General features: G+C 44.4%; 1 long non-coding RNA gene across 1 annotated transcript in view, besides 4 other annotated features; it reads left to right on the top strand.

The window, feature by feature from the left end:
• LOC101929555 (uncharacterized) overlaps positions 1-23,779 on the top strand; it is a 144,395-nt gene that overhangs the window by 21,942 nt on the left and 98,674 nt on the right. The window lies entirely within an intron of this gene.
• Positions 3,021-3,693: an enhancer, noted in NCBI's record as "OCT4-NANOG-H3K27ac hESC enhancer chr6:40965385-40966057 (GRCh37/hg19 assembly coordinates)". NCBI's record gives its function as "activates a minimal SCP1, AML or CMV promoter by ChIP-STARR-seq in naive and primed H9 embryonic stem cells {active_cell/tissue: H9 hESC(naive and primed)}" and the evidence as "EXISTENCE:reporter gene assay evidence [ECO:0000049][PMID:30033119]".
• Positions 3,694-4,367: an enhancer, noted in NCBI's record as "OCT4-NANOG-H3K27ac-H3K4me1 hESC enhancer chr6:40964711-40965384 (GRCh37/hg19 assembly coordinates)". NCBI's record gives its function as "activates a minimal SCP1, AML or CMV promoter by ChIP-STARR-seq in primed H9 embryonic stem cells {active_cell/tissue: H9 hESC(primed)}" and the evidence as "EXISTENCE:reporter gene assay evidence [ECO:0000049][PMID:30033119]".
• Positions 16,786-17,307: an enhancer, noted in NCBI's record as "OCT4-NANOG-H3K27ac-H3K4me1 hESC enhancer chr6:40951771-40952292 (GRCh37/hg19 assembly coordinates)". NCBI's record gives its function as "activates a minimal SCP1, AML or CMV promoter by ChIP-STARR-seq in primed H9 embryonic stem cells {active_cell/tissue: H9 hESC(primed)}" and the evidence as "EXISTENCE:reporter gene assay evidence [ECO:0000049][PMID:30033119]".
• Positions 17,308-17,831: an enhancer, noted in NCBI's record as "OCT4-NANOG-H3K27ac-H3K4me1 hESC enhancer chr6:40951247-40951770 (GRCh37/hg19 assembly coordinates)". NCBI's record gives its function as "activates a minimal SCP1, AML or CMV promoter by ChIP-STARR-seq in naive and primed H9 embryonic stem cells {active_cell/tissue: H9 hESC(naive and primed)}" and the evidence as "EXISTENCE:reporter gene assay evidence [ECO:0000049][PMID:30033119]".

Genomic DNA, 23,779 nt, shown 5'->3' with positions numbered 1-23,779 from the left:
TTTTATCCAAACACCAGTTCTGGTTTGAGGTTGAATGTTGTGTTTCTCTCTAACTCAATGTTTCTAGACTTTTCTTCAGCATTGTTCCCCTAAGGAAAAAAAATTCCCTTCCTTTCATTTTTTCCCTATCCTAAACACTATTTTAAATAATAACATAAAATAATATAAATTTATAGAGAGATAAGATATGTATTGATAAATAAATGTATAGTAAACATAAATTAAGAAATAATTACATACTATTTTGTTGGGCAGGATTAAACTTTGGAGGGTCATAAAACTTTGAAACATCTAAGATTTTTCACACCCCCACCCCAGCCAATTTCCACCCCCTTGGGAGCACTTGGGAGCATTCACACCCTGGAGAATGCATACTCTAATGAGATGGAGAATGGAATGTCTTTGGGCAGTTCTCCCCAATCATAGTTACTCTCTAGACAGCACTTCTCTCTCTGGTGAATTTCCCTCCAATTGTAATTGGTTTTTTGACCGATGTGACTCCATGGAGTACAATCAGGAGGTGGCTTTATTTTTCTCCAACTATTGTTTTCTAGCTCTCTGTTGCATTTCTCTTCCTTATTTCTGGACCATCCCTTGACGTTGTTTCAGGCACAGCCCACAGCTTTTTGGTCACCTTCAGTTATAATAACTAGTTTTATTTTGGCTGCCTCACCTCACTTTCAAGCATTGAAAGGTCGTGGCCGGGCTAAATCAAAACTTCAATCTCATACCCAGCACTATGCTTCTCCCCTCCCCATCCCTCAGCTCAAGCCTGAGCTAGGTCTGCCTTGGAGAGGTGGCCTAGTCTGCTTTTTACCACCTTCCCCCACACCTTGCCTCTAGTTCCTGGGCTTCCCTTTTAGGAGGAAGTCTTATCAGACCTAGAGTAGGGACACATTCCGTAGTGGTCACGTGGCCCAGATGAGAGGGATGCCCACCTCATGCCCTCTCTGTACTTGCCACTGCAAGCCAGCCCAGCCAGCTTCCTACATTCCTTTACAATTCTCTGGACAAAAAGCAGGTGCCAGCCTCCCTGTTCCAGAACCTGGGGGCAAGGGCAAGCCCCAAGCTCCTGTCTGGGGAGCACCATGTCAGCCTACTGGTTTCTGTGGCTCAGCCAGCACCCAGCTGGGTATTGGACTCACTCTCTCCCTCTCGAAGGCCTCCTGACCTCCCTGCTGTTCTCTTGGATCTTTGTGCCTCACTTGAGGATGGGAGAAACATCTTCCTCCTGCCTTCATGGGGAAAGGGAGGGATGGAGAAACACCCTAGCCTTTCCTACTAGGCTGACAACTCCCTACTCTTAGAAATGCGCCTATTTCAATGGACTCGCAAATCTTCTAGTATTCTCTTGGGGTGGTGGAGGTGGGATGGGAGGATTGGATCACTCATCTTTGAGAAAATCCTGCAGGTATCCTCTGATCACTTTCTTTTTAGACTGCGGGGGCACTTTTACTTATTGCTATCCACTTTAGGGCTTTTAGCAGAAGTTCTGAGATTGCAGGGAAAATCCCATTTGATGTCCCATTAAGTGTTCAAACTTCCTCTTTGACTTGGCTGCCTTGCCGGGGATCTGCTTGCCAAGGGCTCTCTAACCTTGACTCAGCACAGCTCCCTCCAGTGGTCTTAGGACCCAGATGTGCAGCTGAGGTCACAGCCTTGCTCCAGGCCCTGCCTTTCCACAGTGTGCTGGGAAGCAGATCTTCTCACCTCCTCTGTACTGTGGAGGCTGACATCTTTTCCATTTTGCTGTGCATACCACGTTTGTTAAGGGAAAGAGGCTTTGAAGGAAGAATGGACATTTCTTCAATAAAGACATGTTATTTCTTTTGGCTTTGGGGGTCAGTTTTTTGTTTGTTTGCCTTTTTTTTTTTTTTTTTTTTTTTTTAAATATCAACACTCTCTAAAGTTCTAAAGGTAGGAATAAGAAGGTCTAGTGTTTTTTTTTTTTTTTTCTGTTTGCTTGTTTTGTTTTTTGTTTGTTCTTTTTGGGTTAAATTAGAACTGGTGAGCCAGCTCCAACCTGGCATTTCCAACTCGAAGTTCATGGTTCTGTCTCCTCTCAGCTCCGTGCGCCATCTTTGCCTGTTTCTTGGGTACTGAACCACGCTCAGCAGCAGGGCTGCCAGCCCTGATTTCCTGGGTCAGTCAGGCAACATATCTGAATTCTAAGAAAGCCACCTGGAGCATAATGACTTTCCTCTCAAGGTGAGACTGTGGCCAGCTAGTGAGAAAATGTGAATGAGGGCGAGGGGCAACTCTGGCCACCTTTTAGTCCCGTGGGCCATGTATATTAGTCACATAGGCTAGGTTTTGCTGCAATTGCAGGTAACTCCACAACAGAACTTATTTTTCATCTGGGCTACGTGTCCACTGCAATCCAGCCACAGCTCTGTTCCATGCTTTCTTCTCTTGGGGACCAAGCCTGTTGGATAAGGCACTATCTGGAACATGTTCTGGTCATTGTGACAGCAAGAGAAAAGCCAGAGAACCACGTGCTAGCTCTTAAAACTTATACTCCAAAGTGACACATGTGACTTCTGCTCACATTTCATGGGCCAAAGCAAGTCATTTGGCCAGAGCTGCATATATCAGAAAGGAGGTGTCTATTTCTCCTGCAGGGAGGGGCACTGAATATTTGGGACGGTCTTTTTCCAGGAAGATACCAGCTCTGCCTAAAATATAGCAGTTGCATGCGATTTAGAAATCTGACAAACAGGATTGTCAGAAAAGATCTGAAGGAAGCTGCCATGTGGGGAATTGTAATTTTTTCCCCTAAAGATTATTTCATGCTTGTTGGATCCATCATATTCTGAAATCCTTTTGCTGTCCAACAAATATTGATAAGTGGAGGCTATTCAGTCACATAGTTCTTAGGCATATCACGCCATAGCTCCCTGACATATGCCTACTGGCTGCCTTAATTTTCTCCCAATTTGTAGCTCCATGTTTCCCCATCTTCCTCCCCACACCCCATCTTTTTCTTTTTTTCTTTTTTTTTTTTTTTTTGCCCTTCTTCATTTCTTCTCTGGTCTCCAAAACCCAGATGACTGTGACTTTTCTGTGATCACTTAAGATTTTCAAGCTCCTCCCTCAAGAGGCTGGTAATTTCCACTTGGAGCATTTTCCTACTATTTTGTCCAGCTAAGCAGTAGGTTCTTAGGAAAACTGTGTGTCTTGGAGAATGAATTTCCATCAGAGGTAAGTGATTGGCATGCTTTTTTCTGTTTTTGATTAAAAATAATTTTAATATAATATTTTACTAGATTGTCTGACCAGAAAAGAAATTACTAAAAATCATAGCTATAGAGGCACTTTAACAAAATAAATATTTAATACCTGGGACCTATTTGGTACTTTTCTCTTTGCCCCTTCTTATTACAAGTACCTGAATTCTCATGCTTGATTGCCAGATGGGATCTTGAAGTGTCTGGCCAAGTCCTGTGGGGGTCAGAGCCCTCTGTTGCGGCTGAGCCTTGGACCAGCAGTGATCAGAAACCTTTCCTGGGGGGAGGCTTTTGTTTGCTTGCAGGAATGTTTCTGGGCCACCACCCCAGGTAGCCCATTCACCGTCCTGGCAGGGAGAGCTCATAAAAGAGGCAGCCTATTTCACTTTTTTCTTTCCTCCTTATCAACTGGGACAGTTTGTTTTTCCCTCTGACTCATAGATCCGGAATTTCAGGACTAGAAAGGGGCTCCCCTGCTGTTTTCTTCAAGTGACAAAAAGACAAAGATAGAGTTTAGCTACCTATAGTGCATTTTACTTCAGCATGAAGAATACTTATAATTGTCTTTTCCAATCAGACATTTTCCTAGCCAGTTTGTTTACCTTATTTTGATTTTGAGGAGGCCCATTTCCTACCTTGTTTTCGTTTGTCTTATTTTTTACTGGTCTTAGCTGGGTCTTTTGTGAGCTGCTAATTTGCTCTCTGGTCTCTTAGCAACCAGGAACTTTTCCAGCTTGCTGCTGAATCAGACCTTGGAGTTGCAAAGTTTATAACAGAACCTGCTGAAGGACAGTATCTCTCCTAGAGCCAGCAATTTTAAACCAATGTTTGAACAAGAAAATTAACCAGGGTTTCAGGACATGTACATTCACAAAGGCAACAACTACAAAACAAATGTCTGGCTCTCCAGAATGGTTCCATTCTCTTCCGCTCCCAGCCCCAGATGGCCAAGTGCTCTCTGGCTTACTTTGTCTTCCCTCCTGCAGCACAAGGCATTTCCCATTCCCTGTTCTTGGGCTGATGTGAAGCAAATGGAGCCTGCTCAGATAGGAAACAACTGTGCCCTGCCTGGAGGAGAACCAGAAAGGGGTTCTGGGTCTGCTGCTTGTTAGCAGGGGGTCAGGGCCAGCTGGTCACATGGTCTTTGACAGTTTCATTCCACACGTATTTATTTCACGCCCACTAGGTGCTAGGCCTCAGCACAGGGAAATGCATAGAATACAGCTGTGTCCCTTTAGAGCCTGTAGTCTAGTGAAGACAAACATAAATAATCTGGTTGCTATCCGTGTGACAAGCCTGCACTCACGATATAAACAAAGGACCGTGGCAGGAGAGAGGAGAACTTTGCCTGGGCAGAGGAGTGAAAGCCTATGTGAACTGACCACACTGGAGGCAGGTGAGGGGATGTGCAGTGTGAGGAGGCAGAGGCTACCTCTCTCCACCTTCAGCACATGTGCTGCAAGTCACACACTCCTGGCATTGGTCACCTGGGGGAAGGGAGCCCAAGAATATTAGCCAACATGAGAGTTTACTAGTTCTTCAGGTTGTCTATGACGATGTAAAAAACTGCTCCAAAGCTTTGTGGCATGAAACAACCACTATTTTATTGTGATCCCAAATTCTGTGGGTCAGAAGTTAGAAAAAAGCACAGAGGTGGATCTTTCAGGGGAGGACTGGAATGGGGGTGCTTTCAACCACTGGGGGCTGGAGGATCCACTTCCAATAGTTTTTTCACTCATATGTCTGGCAGCTGGGCTGGGCTGGCTTACGGGTGGGCTCAGCTGAGAGAGCATGGAGTTCTCAGGATTGTTAGACTTTTTTTTTTTTTTTTGAGACAGAGCAAGGCTGGAGTGCAGTGTTTTAATCTTGGTTCACTGCAACCTCCGCCTCCGGGATTCAAGAGATCCTTCCACCTCAGCTCCGGAGTAAGTAGGATTACAGGTGTGCACCACCATATCCTGCTAATTTTTTTGTATCTTTAGTAGAGACAGGGTTTCACCATGCTGGCCAGGCTGGTCTTGAACTCCGGACCTCCGAGGTGATCCACCCACCTCGGCCTCCCAAAGTGCTGGGATTACAGGCGTGAGCCACAGCACCCAACCCATTGGACTTCTTACATGAAGGCTCTGAGAGAAAATAAATGTCCTTTGAGAGCTAGGCTGAAGCTGTATGGCCTTCTATGCACCCTGCCTTGGAAGTTACATAGCATTCATTCCAAATGTACTATTGGTGGGAGGTGCCAAGGACCCATTCAAATAAAAAGTAGGGGACAAGGTCTGCTGTGGTGGCTCACAGCTGTAATCTAAGCACTTTGGTAGGCTGAGGTGGGCGGATCACCTGAGGTTGCCAGTTTGAGACCAGCCTGACCAACATGGAGAAACCTCATCTCTACTAAAAATACAAAGTTAACTGGGTGTGATGGCACATGCCTGTAATCCCAGCTACTTGGGAGGCTGAGGCAGGAGAATCGCTTGAACCTGGGAAGTGGAGGTTGCGGTGAGCTGAGGTTGTGCCATTGCACTCCAGCCTGGGCAACAAGAGCGAGACTCCGTCTCAAAAAAAAAAAAAAAAAAAAAGAAAAAGAAAGTAGGGGACATAGATCTACCTCTTGATGGAAGGAGGATAAAAATATTTGCAGTCATGCTTAAAACACCACACAGGAAAAAAAGAGTAGTCTCAGGCCAGGACTTGTACATTTTAGACTGACTCTGCCTCTCACTGGCTGTGTGACCCCAGGATTAGGTGCTTCTCCTCTCTGGGCTCTGGTCTCTTCATCTATAAAAGGAGGGCTTCACCAGGTTAATCTACATTCCCTTCTAATGAGGCGCAGCAGCATAGCACATGCTCCGTAATGACCTATTGATGAGGAGAGAGCTGAATTTTAACTGTAGGAAGGATCTCCAATGGAATCATGTGGATCATTAAGTAAAATAGGAGTTTTTGAATTTTCACACTGAAAGAAACTTGAGGAAATATAGTCTGGCTCCCTTGTTTTATAAATGGGGAAATTGAGATCTAGAGAAGCTACAGGTCTTGCCCAAGTTCTGGAAGTAAGTTAATGAGGGCTATTAAAGAATAGAAGCTGGAGGCCAGGGCGCGGTGGCTCAGGTCTGTAATCCCACCACTTTGGGAGGCCGAGGTGGGTGGATCATGAGGTCAGGAGTTCAAGACCAGCCTGGCCAAGATGGTGAAACTCCGTCTCTACTTAAGAAAAAAAAAAACCCACAAAATTTAGCTGGTTGTGGTGGTGGGCACCTGTAATCCCAGCTACTTGGGAGGCTGAGGCAGGGAATTGCTTGAACCCTGGAGGTGGAGGTTGCAGTGAGCCGAGATTGCACCACTGCACTCCAGCCTGGGCAACAGAGCGAGACTCCATCTCAAGAAGAATAGAACCTGGGTCTCTGAACCACACATCCTGTGTGCCTGACCCTCCTGATATTCCATTTGGAATTTCATTCAAACATCCACTTCCAGGAAGGCATCTCTTACATAAATTGAAGGATATCTGTAAAAAGCCATCTGGAAATTTTCCCTGTGTCCAACCTAAGAAGTTAATTGGGCTTGAGGGTGTGTTGGCCAGATCTGGCTGTTTCGCTGGACCTTGCTCAGGACTGGAGCAGGATGACAATGGAGCTGTGAGACTGATAGGGAAGAGGTGTTTGCTTCTGCTTTGGGTCCTATTTTTTTCATGCCGACCATGTTCAGAAATGGCTCTTGTGCATACATAATATGGTGACTGAGTTAAATAATAAATGATAAGAGAGGCCATGGGAGGTGGGAAAGCAAAGGCAAGGGAGAAGGAATCTGATTTCAGCTGAAATTGGAAAGGACAGTGAGCTGCTGAGAGAAGGAGACGAGATAGAAAGGCAGAAGAGCCCAGAAGTAACGAGAACAAGAAAAGAGTTGGTGAAAGGAGCTGCGTGACTTATTTAAGGTCCCAGGAAGGCTGAGAGCTAGAGGGGCTGAAGGGAAGGGCAAACTGAGTGTGGAAATATAGGCATGTCATTGGGTACTGGAACAAGTGGGAGGTCCTGAAGTCCCATTTAGTGCTAGGGAATAAAGCAACAAAATAGACAGTAGGCCATGAAGCTTTGGTTCCTCATGATAAATGGGCTTTTCCAGAGCTGGATCAATCACAGACAGGGCTGTAAACAGAAACAACTGGCTAGGGCTGATTTTGTGATATTGTTTGGACATGGGCTGGGAACAAAATTTATCTGTGCAAAGCTATCCATCAGGGTACTGGGAAGGATGGAGGAAAGGAAACATTGAGGAAGCCAGGTGGGTTTTTCTGGGTGGAGCCTTACTCCCCTATCCATCCACCCTATTTCCAGCTCACGCAAATTCCATTAACTCCCTCTCTAACCCATTGCCTCCTGTTCTTACCACAATTCATGCTAGACCTATGCCCATCTCGTTTCTTCTGAGCCATTCCATCCTAGTCCCAATCCATACACAAGCTTTCATCACATTTTTCAGCATAGCCTGTCCCCCTCTCAACTCCTCATTCTTATCTTCATTTCATTGACAATTCCCTTTATTTGGTGCTTATGAGTGAAACAGTCTAAACCTTTGCAGGATTAGACCCTCAAGATGCTAGGCCCTTTGGTGCTAGGAATTCCACATCCCTAAAGCTAGGCTTTCAATCCTTTTTATTTTCATAAATACACAAAAGTGATGTTTTTACAGCCCACTAGGCTCAGCCCAATCCAGGCCCCACCTAGCTACTGCAAGGGCTGAAGTATCCAGATATACCTGGAATCAATTCTCAGCACACTGTTTGGGAGATTGTGTAGTTTGCACACCCCCAATCACAACATATTTCCCCTATAGAGTTGTATTTTGCCTATTTGCCCTTTGGCGGACTCAACAAGTGACATCAGTTTCAGTGACACGAAGGCTTCATCCCTCCTCTGGTATCTAAGGCAGCAGAAAAATGGACTAGCATGGCGGGGATGCAGTTCACAGCAGGGCTTTCTCATTTGCTTTAGTTAGGAAAAAGCAGTCATGGTGTTCAAACGCATTTAGGGGAGAACACTATTAGTAACAGAGCTAGCAACAGTACTCAGGTCAGAAAGGGAGACAAAAGGGAGTATCAAGTAGTCCCTGCTTTTGTGAGCTTTTATTTTGCAGCAGGAATGAGACCAGCCTGGGAGGACGTCACAGAAGACTGGAAAGATGAGAACTGTAAGAGAAGCTCACAGCCCCTGGGTTGAAAAGAAGCAGAGGGCCTGGCCAGCAGGGAGAGAACCGTACAGAGGTTTACCAAAGTCTTCATTTCAGATGGGCCTGAGGGAGGGATAGGATTTCCCCAGGAGCAGAGTGGGGAGGAAGAGCACATTCTAAATCCAGCAAAGATCATGAGGAAAGGTCTAGAGGGGAAAAACAACAGATGGGATGGAGAAAACCACATAGTCCAGGAACCCTGGGGAGTGTGTAGACTGTAGAGGGATAGTTGGAGATAATTTCAGAGAAGGAAATTGGAGGAGGGCATGTAGGGCTTTGATTCCAGAGTGAGGAGTGTTATGTGCTTAGGAGGCAACAGGGAGCCGCTTGTCTGAACTCTCATCTGGACTGGTGGAAGTCCAGGGTGCTGGCGGTGAGAGAACAAAGTAGACTCGGACTGCCCTGGAAAATGCAGAACCCTGGGCACGTAGGACCAAAAGGGGAATCAAGACTGAGACTGTCACTGAAGCATAAATTCAAAGAGATGCAGATGAGAGGAGGGGCCTGGTGGAAGATGAAAGTCTGGAAAACTGTGATGCCAGACAAGAAGTGGACTCTGTGCGGAGGTAAGAGAAAGTGCCTGGTGAGTATCCTTGAGCCGCTGGGGCATAGTCAGTCTTTTTTGGAGGGTGTGATAGGTTTCAGCCAGAAATGAGAAGGGATGATTAAGGGCTCAAGCTAGCTCAGACTCTGCTGGTATCTGAGGCAAGGACTTAGGTGACTACAGCCATGGACATTTGGGAGCTCTAGCTGGAAGATAAACACGGTGTTGGAAAGGCAGTTCACTATGAGCTCTGAACTTCCCTGCACTTTTTTGCTGAATGTCTCAGATTGCAGGGTTTGTCTCTTTCTCGATACTGAGCAGTTCTGTATCTGGTCATAAAGGTGACTAAGTAGGGCAAGGTAACCATCCCTACCTGGGAGGACAGGAGGAGAACCTATTTGTTGTTTGCTGCTTACTGCTTTTTTGGGCCCTTGGCTTGGGGTTCTTCTCCTGTAATGCAACCCACTGGGTGTGTAGGTACCACATGGGCCCACAGTGTTGTCCCTGTGTGACTTGAGAAGAAGGGGAACTGATGCAAACATGGTGCTTGCTGTACCATGAGTAATACAATATTTTGCCTCTGACCAAGAAGTTTTATGCCTTTCACCAGGGTTCATGCTCAGTTGTTAGCCTGTAGATAGGGTAAAATCTAAGACCCTTCACAGTTTCTCACAGTAGGATAGATTTGAAGGGAAGAGCCTGGAACTATGGATAACAGTCAGGAGGCTATAGAAGTCAGGATGCTTTTGGCTGCAAGTAAGAAAGTATATAACTAAGAGTGGCTTAAATAAGAATGACAGTGATCTTGCATCAGATATGAAGATTGGGAAGTTCCAGAATTGATTAATTTGAAAGTTTAACATCAGGTTTTGGATTAGCTTTCCTGTGATCCTCTCCACTTTCTCCTCATGGTCCCAGGATAGCAGCCATAGCTCCAAGCATCACAGCCTCACATGAGAACAGGTCCTATTACTCACATAAAGTATACATATTGGAGAAAGAGCTTTTTTTAAAATATGGCTCCCTTTTTCTATCAGGGAGAAAACATTTTTTTTCCAGAAGCCCTCCTGGAAGATTTTCTTTCATGTTTCATTGGCCAGAACTGGGTTATGTGCACACTGAAAATCAATCATTAGCAAGTGGGAATGAGATTTCCATGAGTAGTTTGGATAGGTGATTCTTGAACCTGAATGTGCATCAAAATGACCTGAAGGGATTGTTAAAGCACAGCTCTCTGGGTCTTACCCCCAGGGTTCTGATTCAGTAGACTTGGGGTGGAGGTCCAAGAATTTTCATTTCTAACAAGTTCCCAGGTATGTTGATGCTGCTGGTACAAGGACATACTTTTAGAACCACATATCTAAAACGAAGTTAGAATAACTTTGGGAGATTATATCTCTTTGTGTGTGTGCGTGTGTGTGTGTGTGTGTGTGTGTGTGCATGTGTGTGATGCCTGAGCCCTACACCCGACCTATTGAATCAGAGTTTCAAATGGCTTTGGACATCCAAATCCAGTAGCGATTGCCACAGGGAATGTCACAAGGATTCAAGCCATAAATGAAAGAGCCTGAATAAGAGAGGGGCTGGGGAGTGACAGGGAAGAGCTGTTCTGACAGTCTTTGAGGATAAAAGCAACAAGACCTGCTGATTGATTGGATGTGGGAAAAGAGGGGAGAGAGGGAGAGGAGTTGATGATGGACCTGGAGGGGTGGAGGGTTTCTAGGGAGCCATGAGGGGAATGAAGGAAACCTTAGGAAAACCTGCAGGAACAGGCTCTGGGGGAATGTAATAATTCCAATGAGGATGTGATGAGCTGGAGATGTCTGTGGGACACCTAGTGGGAGAGATGCAGGAGGCAGTTGGAAGTGCTTGAGGCTGGAGGTGGTCAGAACCATAGCAGGGGCCTCTCTCAGGGGGCTCCGCACCTCAACCCCCACAGCCATTCCATTCATCTACGTGGCCTCAGGCCTCAGCATCCCTGACCTGGACTATTTCAGTAGAAACCCGCTTGGTTTCCCGGCTTCCAGAGTTACTGGAGAATGGAAAATAATTCATTTTCGATGCAACCCTCAGAATGATCTTCCTAAGACAAAACTCTGATCATTTGACTTCATTTCTTAAAGCTATTCCGCAAATTCCTAATACTATGAAGAGCTTCTCAACCCAGCCACACATTAGAATCGCTGGAGAGAGTATTTAACAAATTCTGGAGCCTGGGCCACCTCATCACCATCTCCTATGATCTTCCGATTTAATTGCTTTGACATGGGTCCTGGGCATTGGTATTTTAAAAAGTTCTCCTGGTGATTCCAATGCGCGGCCAGAGTTGAGACTACTGACCCAACAGGACAAAGTCCAAACCCCTCTGCACGGTGTGTAGTTCTTTTACTGCAAAGTTTCTGCTTATGTTGCTCGTCTTATCTCCCTCCACTTTCTTATGTCAAACCCACACTGTTCCCTGAATGCACCACGCAGTTTCATGCTTCTGGGGTTTCACGCCAGCTGCTTCCTCTGCTGGGAAAGCTCTCTCCTGCCTGTTGGCTTCGTGGATATCTTTATTCTGGGCTTACTCAGCTTAAGCGTCATGTCTATCTGGAGGTCTTCCTTGGCCTTCCAAGGTGGAGTTGGATGCTTTCTCCTGGGTTCCCCATGTGGCTCCATTCCAGCGTCCATCACTCTGAACAGCACAGGTGTGTATTCCTCTTTCTGATGGACTCTGGAGCCCCATAGCTTCTCAGTCTTGCTCACCCACTTACTGTGTGGCTGTAGGCAAGGTGCTTCAGTCCACCGAGCCTCCGCTTTAGTGGTAAGAGGAAATAATGATGTCTACTGCATGAGTTTATTATGAGGACTAGATGAAATAACTTGTGTTCCATGTAGAGAGAGAGTATGTGGAACACAGGCACAGGGTGAACCCTCAATAAATGGGAATTGTGGGTATCACGTGACTCCCTGCCTCTAGACCAGGGTGGTCCAAGGGAAATGTGACAAGAGCCACAAATGTGAGTCCGATGTGGAATGCCACATTACACATTAAAAAAACTAAAAAGAAGTGAAATGAATTTCAATAGTATATTTTATTTAATTCAACATACCCCAAATATTATTGTTTTACAATCAATATAAAAATATTGATGAGATATTTTTACTTTTTTCATATGTCTTTGAAATCCACTGTTATTTTAGAGTGACAACTTATCTCATTTCAGACCAGCCACATTGCAAGTACTTGGTAGCCAGATGTAACCAGTAGCTACTGTATTGGATGGCACAATGCTAGAATCAAGACACTTTGTGACTGTCTTGAGGATAGGTGCAATGTCTGATTTTTCTCTGCATCACTCAATTCATGGTACAAAGTAGTGTTTAATAAGTGTTTATGAGACATTATTGAACTATGCCTGGTGCTACAGGGTTATGTCATTGGGCAGGTTGCTAAGGGGAATACTGTATATACAAACATCAGCTACAATAATAGGGAAGGGAAACCAGGCAGTGACCAAGAGTGAGGTACTGCCTTGTGTTGACAGAGCCAGGTTGGAGGAGGAGCACAGGACATCTCTGCAGCAAGTCTGAGATTCAAAGTCCAGAATTGGAAAGGCCCAGATCTTGGTCCTGATGCTAGTGGCCACCAAAAATTGGTCTCCCTTCAAATTAGTCTCATGCTAAATTAGAGGCAACCAACCTTACTCATTGACAGAATGAGTGACCTTCTTTTGATAGGATATTGGGACCACTATGGGAAAATCACTTGACCAAGCTGAACTCAGTGAATGATTATAAAATCAGATTCGTATGTGAGATCTGATTCCACCATCAGCAAGCTATGTGACTTTGGACAACTGACTTAACCTCTCTGAGCTTCCACATCTGGAAAATTCATAGAACAGGAATAGCATCTATCTCACAGGGTTGCCTTGAGGAGGTCATGTGCTTCTGACTGGCTCCCAACAATCCCCACCTCCTAGTATTTATCCCCTCTGTATCCCATCCCGTTGAGTGTGCATGGGACCTAGTGACTTGATTCTAACAAATGGAATAGAGCGAAGTAAGGGGTTGTTACTTCCATGGTTAAGTCTGTAGTCTGTGACTTCTTTCTTGCTAGCGTTCTCCTTCTCTCTCTCTCTCTTTCTGTCACTGGTACTGTTCCTTGCCCTCTCACTTGCTCAGTCTAATGAGGCAAGCTGCCATGGTATGAGATGGTCTATGGAGAAGGGCACATAGTAAGGAAGTGTGGAGGTCTCCAGCCAAAAGCTCATGGGGGCTCCCTGAGGAGGAGAACTCTCAGTCCAACAATTCAAGAGGGAAGAAATCTTTACAATAATCATGGACATGAGCTTGGAAGTGAGTCTTTCCCAGTCCAGCCTCAAGATGAGACTGCAGCATTGTGAGAGCCAGAGGACCCAGCTAGGCTGTGCCTGGACCCACAGAAACTGCAAGACAGTCGATGCATGTTGTTTTAAGACGCTGAATCGTGGAAGATAATTTGTTACACAGCAATGGTTAACTAACACATGCGTGTAAGAGTTTGACACAACATCTACAATGTAGAAGGTGCTTGGTAAATTTAAATATGACTTTTAGTAGTGACACCAAAAAATTCTGCTACTGGTTATAAGGTCTTGTACTGTACCAGAGAAATTTGATAAGCTAGGCAGCCTATGCATGGCCTTCACAAGCAGCTAGGATTAAATTAGACTAACTAGAGTAGCATCACAGTTTTTTGAGCTGTAAGCTCATTCCTCTGCAGTGGAGTCAGCCTCCTTAATCCAGGCTTGGTTTTCATCCCATCCCATCATGTCCCCCTCCCAACCAGTTCCCAATTTGTTCACACTGTGAAGACACAAACTGGACCCTTTTCTGAGACAAAGAGCCAACTTAGAGGATGAGAGCAGCAACAGGCCTGAGAATAAGTCCTGTTTTTTTCCCCTTTTTATTTTTCAGAACATGGTTGTCCTCTGAGATTATGTTAGTAAGAAGAATCCATGCATAATGAAGTTAAACATCTGGGATTGTGAAACCTAATCAATTGTGAAATCTAATCAATCACAATGTGCCTCGTCTGGGAAACAAATGTATTAACCAAAGTGGGGTGGTCTGTGCATGGTCTAGAGGAAGGGGATGCCACGGAGCAGTAATTTGTCAGTGTTTTTCCGGCATTGTCCAAAGCAAGGGGTCCCGACTGGCTGACAGAAACATCCGCTCTGCTTGACAGATGGGTCTAGGAGGAGCAGGGAGCACCAGACAATCATAACTCACTGACACAAGCCATTAACATCATCCTGTGGCTCTCTGGCACCGAGTCCTTGCTTTCCACGCAAGCTTCAGATGAGGCTGATCCTTTTCCCATGTACATTGACCTCCCACCAATGGACGTGAGACTCTGGTTTTCTTGGAAGTAATAGTTCTCTCTGAAACTAATAAACTGATTGATATTCTGGCTTATTCATCAGTCACTTGAGAGTTTGTTCAACCTGGGTCAGTCTCTGGACTGTAGGGTACTGACCGTATAGAGTTGCTGCCTCTCAAGGTGGAAAGCCTGTGCCCGGGACCTAGTGGCCTCCCTTCCATCCACCTCACTTTTTCTCCTCCTCTGTCCCTCCCTGCCTACCACCCTTCTTTTCTTGTCTTTCTCTTTCTTCCTTCTACCCCTGCCCCTGCCCACCTTCACCCTGACACACACACACTTTCAATATCTCTTGTATGAGTCATGAGCATTTCAGTTAAGCTAAAGAATTCTGTAGCCGATTGAGTTTGTGTCCTGGTTCTGTCACTTAGTAGCTGTGGGCTCTTGGGCAAGTGATTTCAAGTTCTCTGTGACTTACTTGTAAAATGGGACTAATAGCATTTGCCTCTTAAGGCTGATGTCAGGATTAAATGAACTGCAACAGTGCATGGCACTACTACATGCTCATTCATTGTTAGCTAAACAACAAATACTGCCTGTCATGTACCGGGACTATGCTGGGGGCTGGTGATGAATGGTGAGGAGTTGCAGAGCTGCTTTCAGGGTGCTTACTTGGAGGAGGCAGAGGCTGAGACATCTACAGGCCATTTCAAAGTGTACCCCAACCAGGTGCTGGCTCCCTGTGAGGGCTGGTGTCTTTTGGGGACATTTGGGTCCCATTATTTTCTATTTTCTCACTGTGATGTGCGTCAGTGCTTAGGGACAATGAGGTGCAGCATGAGGGTCCAGGGGTCTTAAGGTGCATAAGTGGTCCCAAGAGAGGGGAAAAACCTTCAAAGAAAGGAGGAAAGGGCATGGGGGACGAGGTTAGCCTCTCTTCCAGTGCTTCCAGGTGTGCCTCTCCTTGTGTGGCGAGGGTGGTCTTCGTATGCTGTACTAGTTAGTGAGTAATTCTGCCCAGCAATGAGGTCTTCTCTCCCAGTTTCTGGCTGCAGCAGCTGTCCTCCTGAGTGGACAGGTGGGCATGGCAGCAAGGATGTGAATGCCACATGATGTGGATGAATCTGTATCAGCCTTGAGACTGGCAGTGGTGAGATTGTTGAGGCTGGCAGAGAAACCCTGATGTCATTACCAAGAATGAATGGAGAACTACAATTGCTTCCTTAGAATTATGAGAAGAGAGCTATAATTCTCTCCACTCTGGTCTCCTGGGGACTTTGATTTCCACTCCCCTGGGCCTCCCACTGAAGAGTTTGCTGTCTGAGTCTGCTCTCCTGAGAGCTTTGTCACATTCTACAGTTCTCTGTTTTGTCAAATGCATGAATTCTGTGTCTTTGCTAATAAATGATATATTTTTAAACAATTTAAAACATTAAATTAATTTATCTGGGGAGAAGGTGACATATTGACATACATGAAATTCCAGAGGTACTAAAGGGTGTGCAAAATGCTTCTCTCCCATCCCTCTCCCTAACTACTGAGTTCTCCTCATCAGCAACTAGTGTTACTAGTTTCTCATCAGATAGTAAGATTTTTTAGATAAAAGGGACCAGGATTTATAACATTAATATCAATTCAACAGTTATTTAGTCAGCATCAATCTTGTGCCAGGGACTAGAGATATAGGAGCCAATAGGGAACAGTCTCAGTCCTCTGAGAGCCACAGTGTGCAGTAGGGAAGCAGCCAGGGTGGCCAACAGTTATAATCTATTGCTATTGAAGGAGAAACAGAAATATGTATAAGCTGCAGAGGTAGCACCAAGGGGCAGAGAAAAGAAAATAATCTCGCAATGGAGACAGAAAAGATTACATAGCACGTCTTTGGGCTTTCCACAAGCTGCCAGGATAGAGGTGTTATAAAATTCACTTTTTCCTTGCTGACTTATTTTTTGATTCTTTCTTTGGTCGTGTAGAATTGAAGTCTACTTTGAACCAACTGCCACCTTTGTTAAAAAGCAGCTTTATTGAGATATAATTCATATAACATACAATTTACCATTTACAGTGTATAATTCAATGTGTTTTAGTATAGAGTTGTACATTCATCCACCATCAATTTTACAACATTTTTATTACCCCAAAAGGAAACCCCATACCTCTTAATTATTACCCATTAGCCTCCCAATCTTCCCAGCCCTAAGCAATCACCAATCTGTGATACTTTCTGTCTCTAGAGATCTGCATATGCTGGACATTTTATATAAATGAAATCTTACAATATGTGGCCTTTTGTTTCTGGCTTCTTTCACTTGGCATAAAATGCTTTCAAGGTATTATCATGTTGCAATATGCAACATACTTCATTCCTTTTTATGGCTGAATAATATTCCATTGTATTGGATATACAACATTTTGTCTATCCATTCATCAGTTGATGAATGGATGCTTTCTATGCTTTGGGTGGCTTCTATACTTTTAGGTTAATTTTCCAGAAGCTACACTCTTGACTTTTTCAGAGCTACAGCTTGCCTTATTCTATGGAGAAGAGTGAGCACTGTGTGGGGAGCAAGTGCTCCACAGAGTTGGCTTCACATTCACTATGTTGCCCAACCTCAGCCTCCTGGGCTCTGAGCAAGCACACTTCTGATCTGCCCATGGGAAGGGCCTCTTTGGCCCCAACTTTGGCTTCTGTCCTTGTTTCTGAAGCCCACCCTCCTGCCTCTCATCTCTGTGTTCCTTTCCATTTCTGGAATGATTCTGCTTTGGGAGGTTGTTCTTTATGCTCAAATGTTGACAATTATATTCTTTCCCAAGACTTGACTCTTTTTTTGACCATTAACAGCCCTGCCCATGCACAATTAACTCATGACAACTGGTATCCCTAGCCTTCATGCTTGAAATCTAATGTTGGCCACCATCTTGGCCCAACCCTTGAACTTGGCCAAGACATTTCCATCCATCCAGCCCTTAGCTAGGACTCAGGAGCTTGAATGTTAGGAAAAGCATTTGTTCTTTATCTAATAGGCCTTTAAGGTAGTCATTGAAAGCCTTTGTTGGGAGAATCCAAGTGAGGAGAAAGTGTTGTCTTGCAAAACTCCCTTTGACAGTGGCATTTACAAGTGATTGGGGAGAGGAGATGCAGTGATGAGAAGGTAATCAGAAAGCTGCCACAGTGACCTATCAATCTCTGGACTGGGATGGGGGCAGGTGGAAGGGCCTGGTAGAAAAAAATATGAAAGATTGTATTAATAGTATTTGGGACATGATCAGTTTAGTTTGGGATGAGAAGAAGAAGCACAAGAGGAAATTGTTTCTAGCAGAATTGTTATTAGGACTAGCAAGTAAGGATACATTGAACCCACTTTCACTGGTTTGTTTGCGTTTTTTTTAGAAGACGCATTTTTTTTAGAAGACGCACAGGAAGGGGAACATCACACACCGGGGCCTGTTGTGGGGTTGGGGGAGAGGGGAACGATAGCATTAGGAGACATACCTAATGTAAATGACGAGTTAATGGGTGCAGCACACCAACATGGCACAAGTATACATACGTAACAAACCTGCACGTTGTGCACATGTACCCTAGAACTTAAAGTATAATAAAAAAAAAAAAAAAAAAAAAAAAGGAAGACGCATTTGGCTGCAGGCTTAGTTTCCAGGGGCAGCAAGGCTTCTGGGGGTGTGTGTCTGAGAGGCATTTAGAGAGATGGTAAGGGGGTTGAGAAATGATCCTGCATGAAGATGTAGATTTGAAGGTGTTAGCTAGAACAGGGAGAAATAACAGGGAGGATAGGCAAGAGCAGGGAGTGAAAAAGGACCCTTAGAGCAGGCACAGTGTGGAGTGGGGAGGGAAGGGAAGTCAGAGAGGGAGCTGCAGGGGAGTGGGACAGGTGAGCACTCAAGAAGCAAGAATAGGAGAGTCTTGTATAGGAAGGAGTGGGCAGCAACGAGTGGCCACAGGCATTTTCCTTTGCAAGGTAAAGAATTTGAATCCTTTTGCTGGGTCCTTGTCATTTCTGAGTCCAGTCCTGGCCCTGTGATCATTAAGTGCCCTCTCTGTCCTCCAGTTTTCTCCCTCTGGGTGCTGATTTTGACTTTTGGAGCAAGATGCTTCTTCAATAGATTTTGACCTAAGTTATCTCTAATTTTTATCTGCCTGTCACAATGAGTGAACTCCTCCATTCTCCCAACTTGATCATTTCTCAATTTTCAGAAGACTTGAAAAAACAAAATGAAACAAAACAGAAAGCTAAAAAACCTAAAGACAAAATATCATGTGTGGCTTGTTAGCCAAGCAGTGCTGTTAATATTTGGTTGCCTTGTGAATTTTTTTTTTTTTGGCTTCTTGTTAAATGTTTTCTCTGAGCTTCCTGAGATATGCTAGTGAACATTCTCCAGGATTCCTGTGGATGTTTTACTTCTTTCTATTCTTAGCTTATTCTTGTATTTTCCTAGTTCCTATGTCAAAGCCTGAGGTATCTTATTATGAATTTCTTTTCTCTTCTCTCAGATTATTGGAATTAATTCTGTGTTATAATGTTAGTAACAGCTAACATTTGTACAATGCTTTACAATTTACAAAGCATGTCGTTTTCTTATTTTATCTTCACAGCAATTCTGTGAAGACTCTTAGATACCATTGTCCTTATTTTATGAACAAAGCCTCTGAAGGTCAGTGAGCTTGGGAGACACAGCTCAGCGGGCAATAGAAGGAGCCATGGTGACTTAAGATCTTTGGCTCCTTTCTTTTTTGTAATAATGCTGTTTTTCCTCTAAAAAAGAAAACATGATTATTTGAGAAAATGTGGAGAGTATAGGAAAGAATACAGACAGAAATATGCATTACTGTTCATCCCACTGTCCAGTAACTGTGATTATCAGTGCTTTGTTGTATTTCTTTCCAGTCACATTTCTATGAATTAGCAAAGATTTTTATGTAATTAGAAATCATGTACATTTTAATGTTGGACCCTGGTTTTTTCTTTTTGAGACAGGGTCTTGCTCTGTCGCCCAGGCTAAAGTGCAGTGGCACAATCTCAGCTCACTGCAACCTCTGCCTCCTGGTTTCAAGTGATTCTTTTGCCTCAGCGTCCTGAGTAGCTGGGATTGCAGGTGCCCACCACCACACCTGGCTAATTTTTATAGTTTTAGTAGAGACGGGGTTTCACCATGTTGGCCAGGCTGGTCTTGAACTTCTGACCTCAGGTGATCTGCCTGCCTTGGCCTCCCAAAGTGTTAGGATTACAGGTGTGAGCCACCATGCCTGGCTGGAACCCTGGTTTTTAAATGTAACGTTATATGGTGATGCCATCCAACTATTTCAAAATCCATTCTAGCATATAGGTATATTATAACTTATGTAACCATTCCCCTCTTTCTTTTCTTTTTTTATTCATAGATAATTATACATATTTATGGGGTACATGTGATATTTTGATACATGCATGTGATGTGTACTGATCAAATGAAGGTATTTAGGATATCCATCACCTCAAACATTTATTAATTCTTTGTGTTCAAAACATTTCAAGTCTTCCCTTTTAGCTATTTTGAAATATACAATAAATTGTTTACTATAGTCACCTTACTGTGTCCACTAGGACTTATTCCTTCTATCTAAATGTAGGTTTATTCCTACCTAAATGTAGGACTTATTCCTTCTGTCTAAATGTAGGTTTATACCCATTAACCAACCTCTTTTCATTCCCCCCACCCATTTCCAGCTGCTGGCATCTATCATTCTACTCTTCCATAAGGTCAACAATTCCCTTCTTGCTGCATATACAAGTTGTTTCAATTACTGGCTTGTACAATAAGAATCTTGATTAATGACTTTATATAATTAACACCCATCTTAATCTCTGAGTTTTATGATAAGAATAAGGATGGAATGCCTGGGTTTAAGAGCACATTGTTCAACTTTATTCTACAGATGGACTACATTTTATTCCAGTGAGAACTTGAGTCTATCTTACCATACCCTTGCCACCACTGAATATTATATTTTAACTAATTGTTAATATTATGGATGAAAAACAAATGTTCATTGCTTTGTTTTACATTTCTTTGATTGCTTGTGAAATAGAACTTTTTCCTGGAAGCATTCCCCTCAAGAACTAGAATAAGACAAGGATGCCCACTCTCACCACTCCTATTCAACATAGTACTGGAAGTCCTAGCCAGAGCAATCTGGCAAGAGAAAAGATAAAAGGCATCCAAATAGGAAAAGAGGAAGACGAATTATTTCTCTTCACTGATGATATGTTTCTATACCTAGAAAACCCTAAAGACTCTGCCAAAAGGCTCCTGGAACTGATAAATGACTTCAGTAAAGTTTCAGGATACAAAATCAATGTACAAAAATCACCAGCATTTCTATACACCAATAATGTTCAAGCTGAGCGTTAAATCAAGAACCTAATCTCATTTACAATCGCCACACACACACACACAAATACCTAGGAATACATCTAACCAAGGAAGTGAAACATCTCTACAAGAAAAACTACAAAACACTTCTGAAAGAAATCATAGATGACACAAACAAATGGAAAAACATTCCATACTCATGAATTGGAAGAATCAATTCTTTAAAAAGTCCATACTGCCAAAACAATCTTCAGATTCAATGCTATTCTGATCAAACTACCAATGTCATTTTTCACGGAATTAGAAAAAACTTCTAAAATCCTTATGGAACCAAAAAAAAAAAGAGCCCAAATATCCAAAGCAATCCTAAGCAAAAAGAACAAAGCCAGAGGCATCACATTACCTGACTTCAAACTATACTACAAGGCTACAGTGACCAAAACAGCATGGTACTGGTACAAAAACAGACACATAGACCAATGGAACAGAATAGAAAACCCAGAAATAAAGCTGCATAGCTACAACCAACTGATCTTTGACAAAGTTGACAAAAATAAGCAATGGAGAAAGTCCGTATTCAATAAATGGTGCTGGAGTAACTGACTATCCATATGCAGAAGAATGAAACTGAGCTCAGAGGACTAGCTCCAAGATGGCTGCTGACTAGACACAGCCAGGAGGAACATCTCTCACCGAGAGACTGGGATATCAGGAAGACTGGTGCACTCCTAGCATGTCTTCAGAGGGAAGGCATTCAGGGTGAATATAAGGAAGACACAGAGGCTGGGCTGAAGCAGGAGGAAGCTGGGAACCCTGCAAGGGGCTTCTGCACACTGGGACTCGTTCCTGCCCCTCAATGATGCCTGCATGAAGGGGTGAGTTCAACAGGCAAGGAGCAACCTGCTCTAACCTTGGGCCTCTGGAATTCCACCAGGAGGTGACCACTCGACTACCATGGACACTTGAATTGGCAGGAATTGCTGCTTAGAGAAGAGATGGGGAAGAACTCCAGGTAGTGTGGAGCCCAGAGGGTTTGGTGTAGGGGCATCTGTAGTGAAGCATGGCCAGGGATGCCCATCCTCTTAGGCTCAACTTGCTGCCATAAGAGACTATAGCCCTAGGGGAACTGTTAGACTGGAACTGCAGGGTGGTCTTGCCCATGAGACAGGACTAGTCTGATCTGAGCACCCCTTAGTCTGATGGCCTCTCCTGAGGCCCCAGCCTGGCCACAACTGCTTGCAGTGCAGCCCTCAGGTACTGCCTTGGCCTGCATCATAGCTTCAGGGCTGGCAGGCTGTACCTGACCGGCAGAGTGCTCCAGCAGAGCCACCCGTGGACACACACTAACTCCACCCCTGCTCTTCCCCTACTGTAGCCTCCCCTGTGCCACTTTGCCTGTATATACTCACCCAGGGTCTCCCCACATCACTTTGCCAGCACATGTGGACCTTGTGCAGGTGGACTTTGCCTTTCCTTCTCCACAAGGATATGTGTGTGCAGGCACCCTGACATGCCACTGCTGCTGACTTGAGTGCACTGCCCCCCCAACTGCCATTGTTGTCAGAGTATTAGTAGGCATGAAGCCTGCTAGCCTTGCCTGCCAATGCCTGACCCCAGCTGAAACAGTGGACCCGTCCCCACCCTGGGTAGCCACTGCTGCCCTCATGTACGTGCACAAGGGTACACACAGTCCTGCCCCCACTAGCACCCTGTCTCCATGCTAACACCACCATTGGTGTTAATGCATGCACAGTTGCCCAGTGTCCAGTGGGGCCCACCCCAAGCTGTGCTGCCACTGCTGCTGCTGTGAACACTTGCACAGAGGCCAGCACCCCAGTACCCACTAACACCCTGCTGCAGCTGAGCATGCACCCTGCTGCACTGCCACTGCACTGCTACTGGCATGTGCAAATGAGGACAGAGCTCACTACCACTGCCCTGTGAAGTGCTTTGGCTGGCACCATCCACCAGAGCACTGTGACCAGTGGTCCAGCAGCATCTTGGCCCCCCCAGTGCATCAGGTTCCTAACCTCGAGGAGTCAGGGAACAAAGCTGGGGCTCAATACCAGTCTCCCAGAGTTAGAGAATGTGGCCCAGGAGTCCTGAGCTGAGACTTGGCTCCCTAAAATCTTTTAGAAATGAAGCCAGTTGACTGAATCCACCTTATGCCACAATCAAACCCCTAAGGTCATCAAATAGGATAAAAGAAAAAAAAAATCCAAAGGTCAGCAACTTCAAAGACTGAAGGAACATCAGCCCACACAGATGAGAAAGAACTAGCACAAGAACTCTGACAACTCAAAAACGCAGAGTGTCTTCTTTCCTCCAAACAACCACATTAGTTCTCCAGCAAGTGTTCTTAACTGGGCTGAGATGGCTGAAATGACAGAACTAGAATTCAGAATATGGGTAGAAATGAAGATCATCAACAGTCAGGAGAATGTTGAAACACAACCTAAGGAAGCTAAGAATTACAATAAAATGATACAGGAACTGACAGAAAAAATAGCCAGTATAGAAAATAACATAACTGACTTGACAGGGCTGGTAATTGTAAATGTATTACAAGAATTTCATAATGCTATTCCAAGTATTAACAGTAGAATAGACCAGGCTAAGAAAAAAATCTCAGAGCTTGAAGACTGGCTTTCTGAAATGAGACAGTCAGACAAGAATAAAGAAGAGAGAATGAAAAGGAATGAATAAAACCTCTGAGAAATATGATACTATGTAGAGAGACTGAATCTGTGACTCATTAGCATCCCTGAAAAGGATGGGGAGAATGGAAGCAACTTGGAAAACATATTTCAGGATATCATCCGTGAGAACTTCCCCAACATAGCTAGAGAGGCCAACATTAAACTTTAGGAAATGCAGAGAGCCCCTGCAAAAACTTCACAAAAAGATAATTCCCCAAGACACAACCGTCAGATTCTCCAGGGTTGAAATGAAAGAAAAAAATGTTAAAGGCAACTATGGAGAAAGGACAGGTCACTTACAAAGGGAAGCCCATCAGACTAACGTGGACCTCTAAGCAGAAACCCTACAAGCCAGAAGAGATTGGGG

The sequence above is a fragment of the Homo sapiens genome, chromosome 6 (genome assembly GCF_000001405.40).
Source record: "Homo sapiens chromosome 6, GRCh38.p14 Primary Assembly".
NCBI lineage: Eukaryota > Metazoa > Chordata > Mammalia > Primates > Hominidae > Homo > Homo sapiens.
Note: the sequence above shows the minus strand (reverse complement) of the source record. Positions and strands in the feature narration are given on the sequence as shown.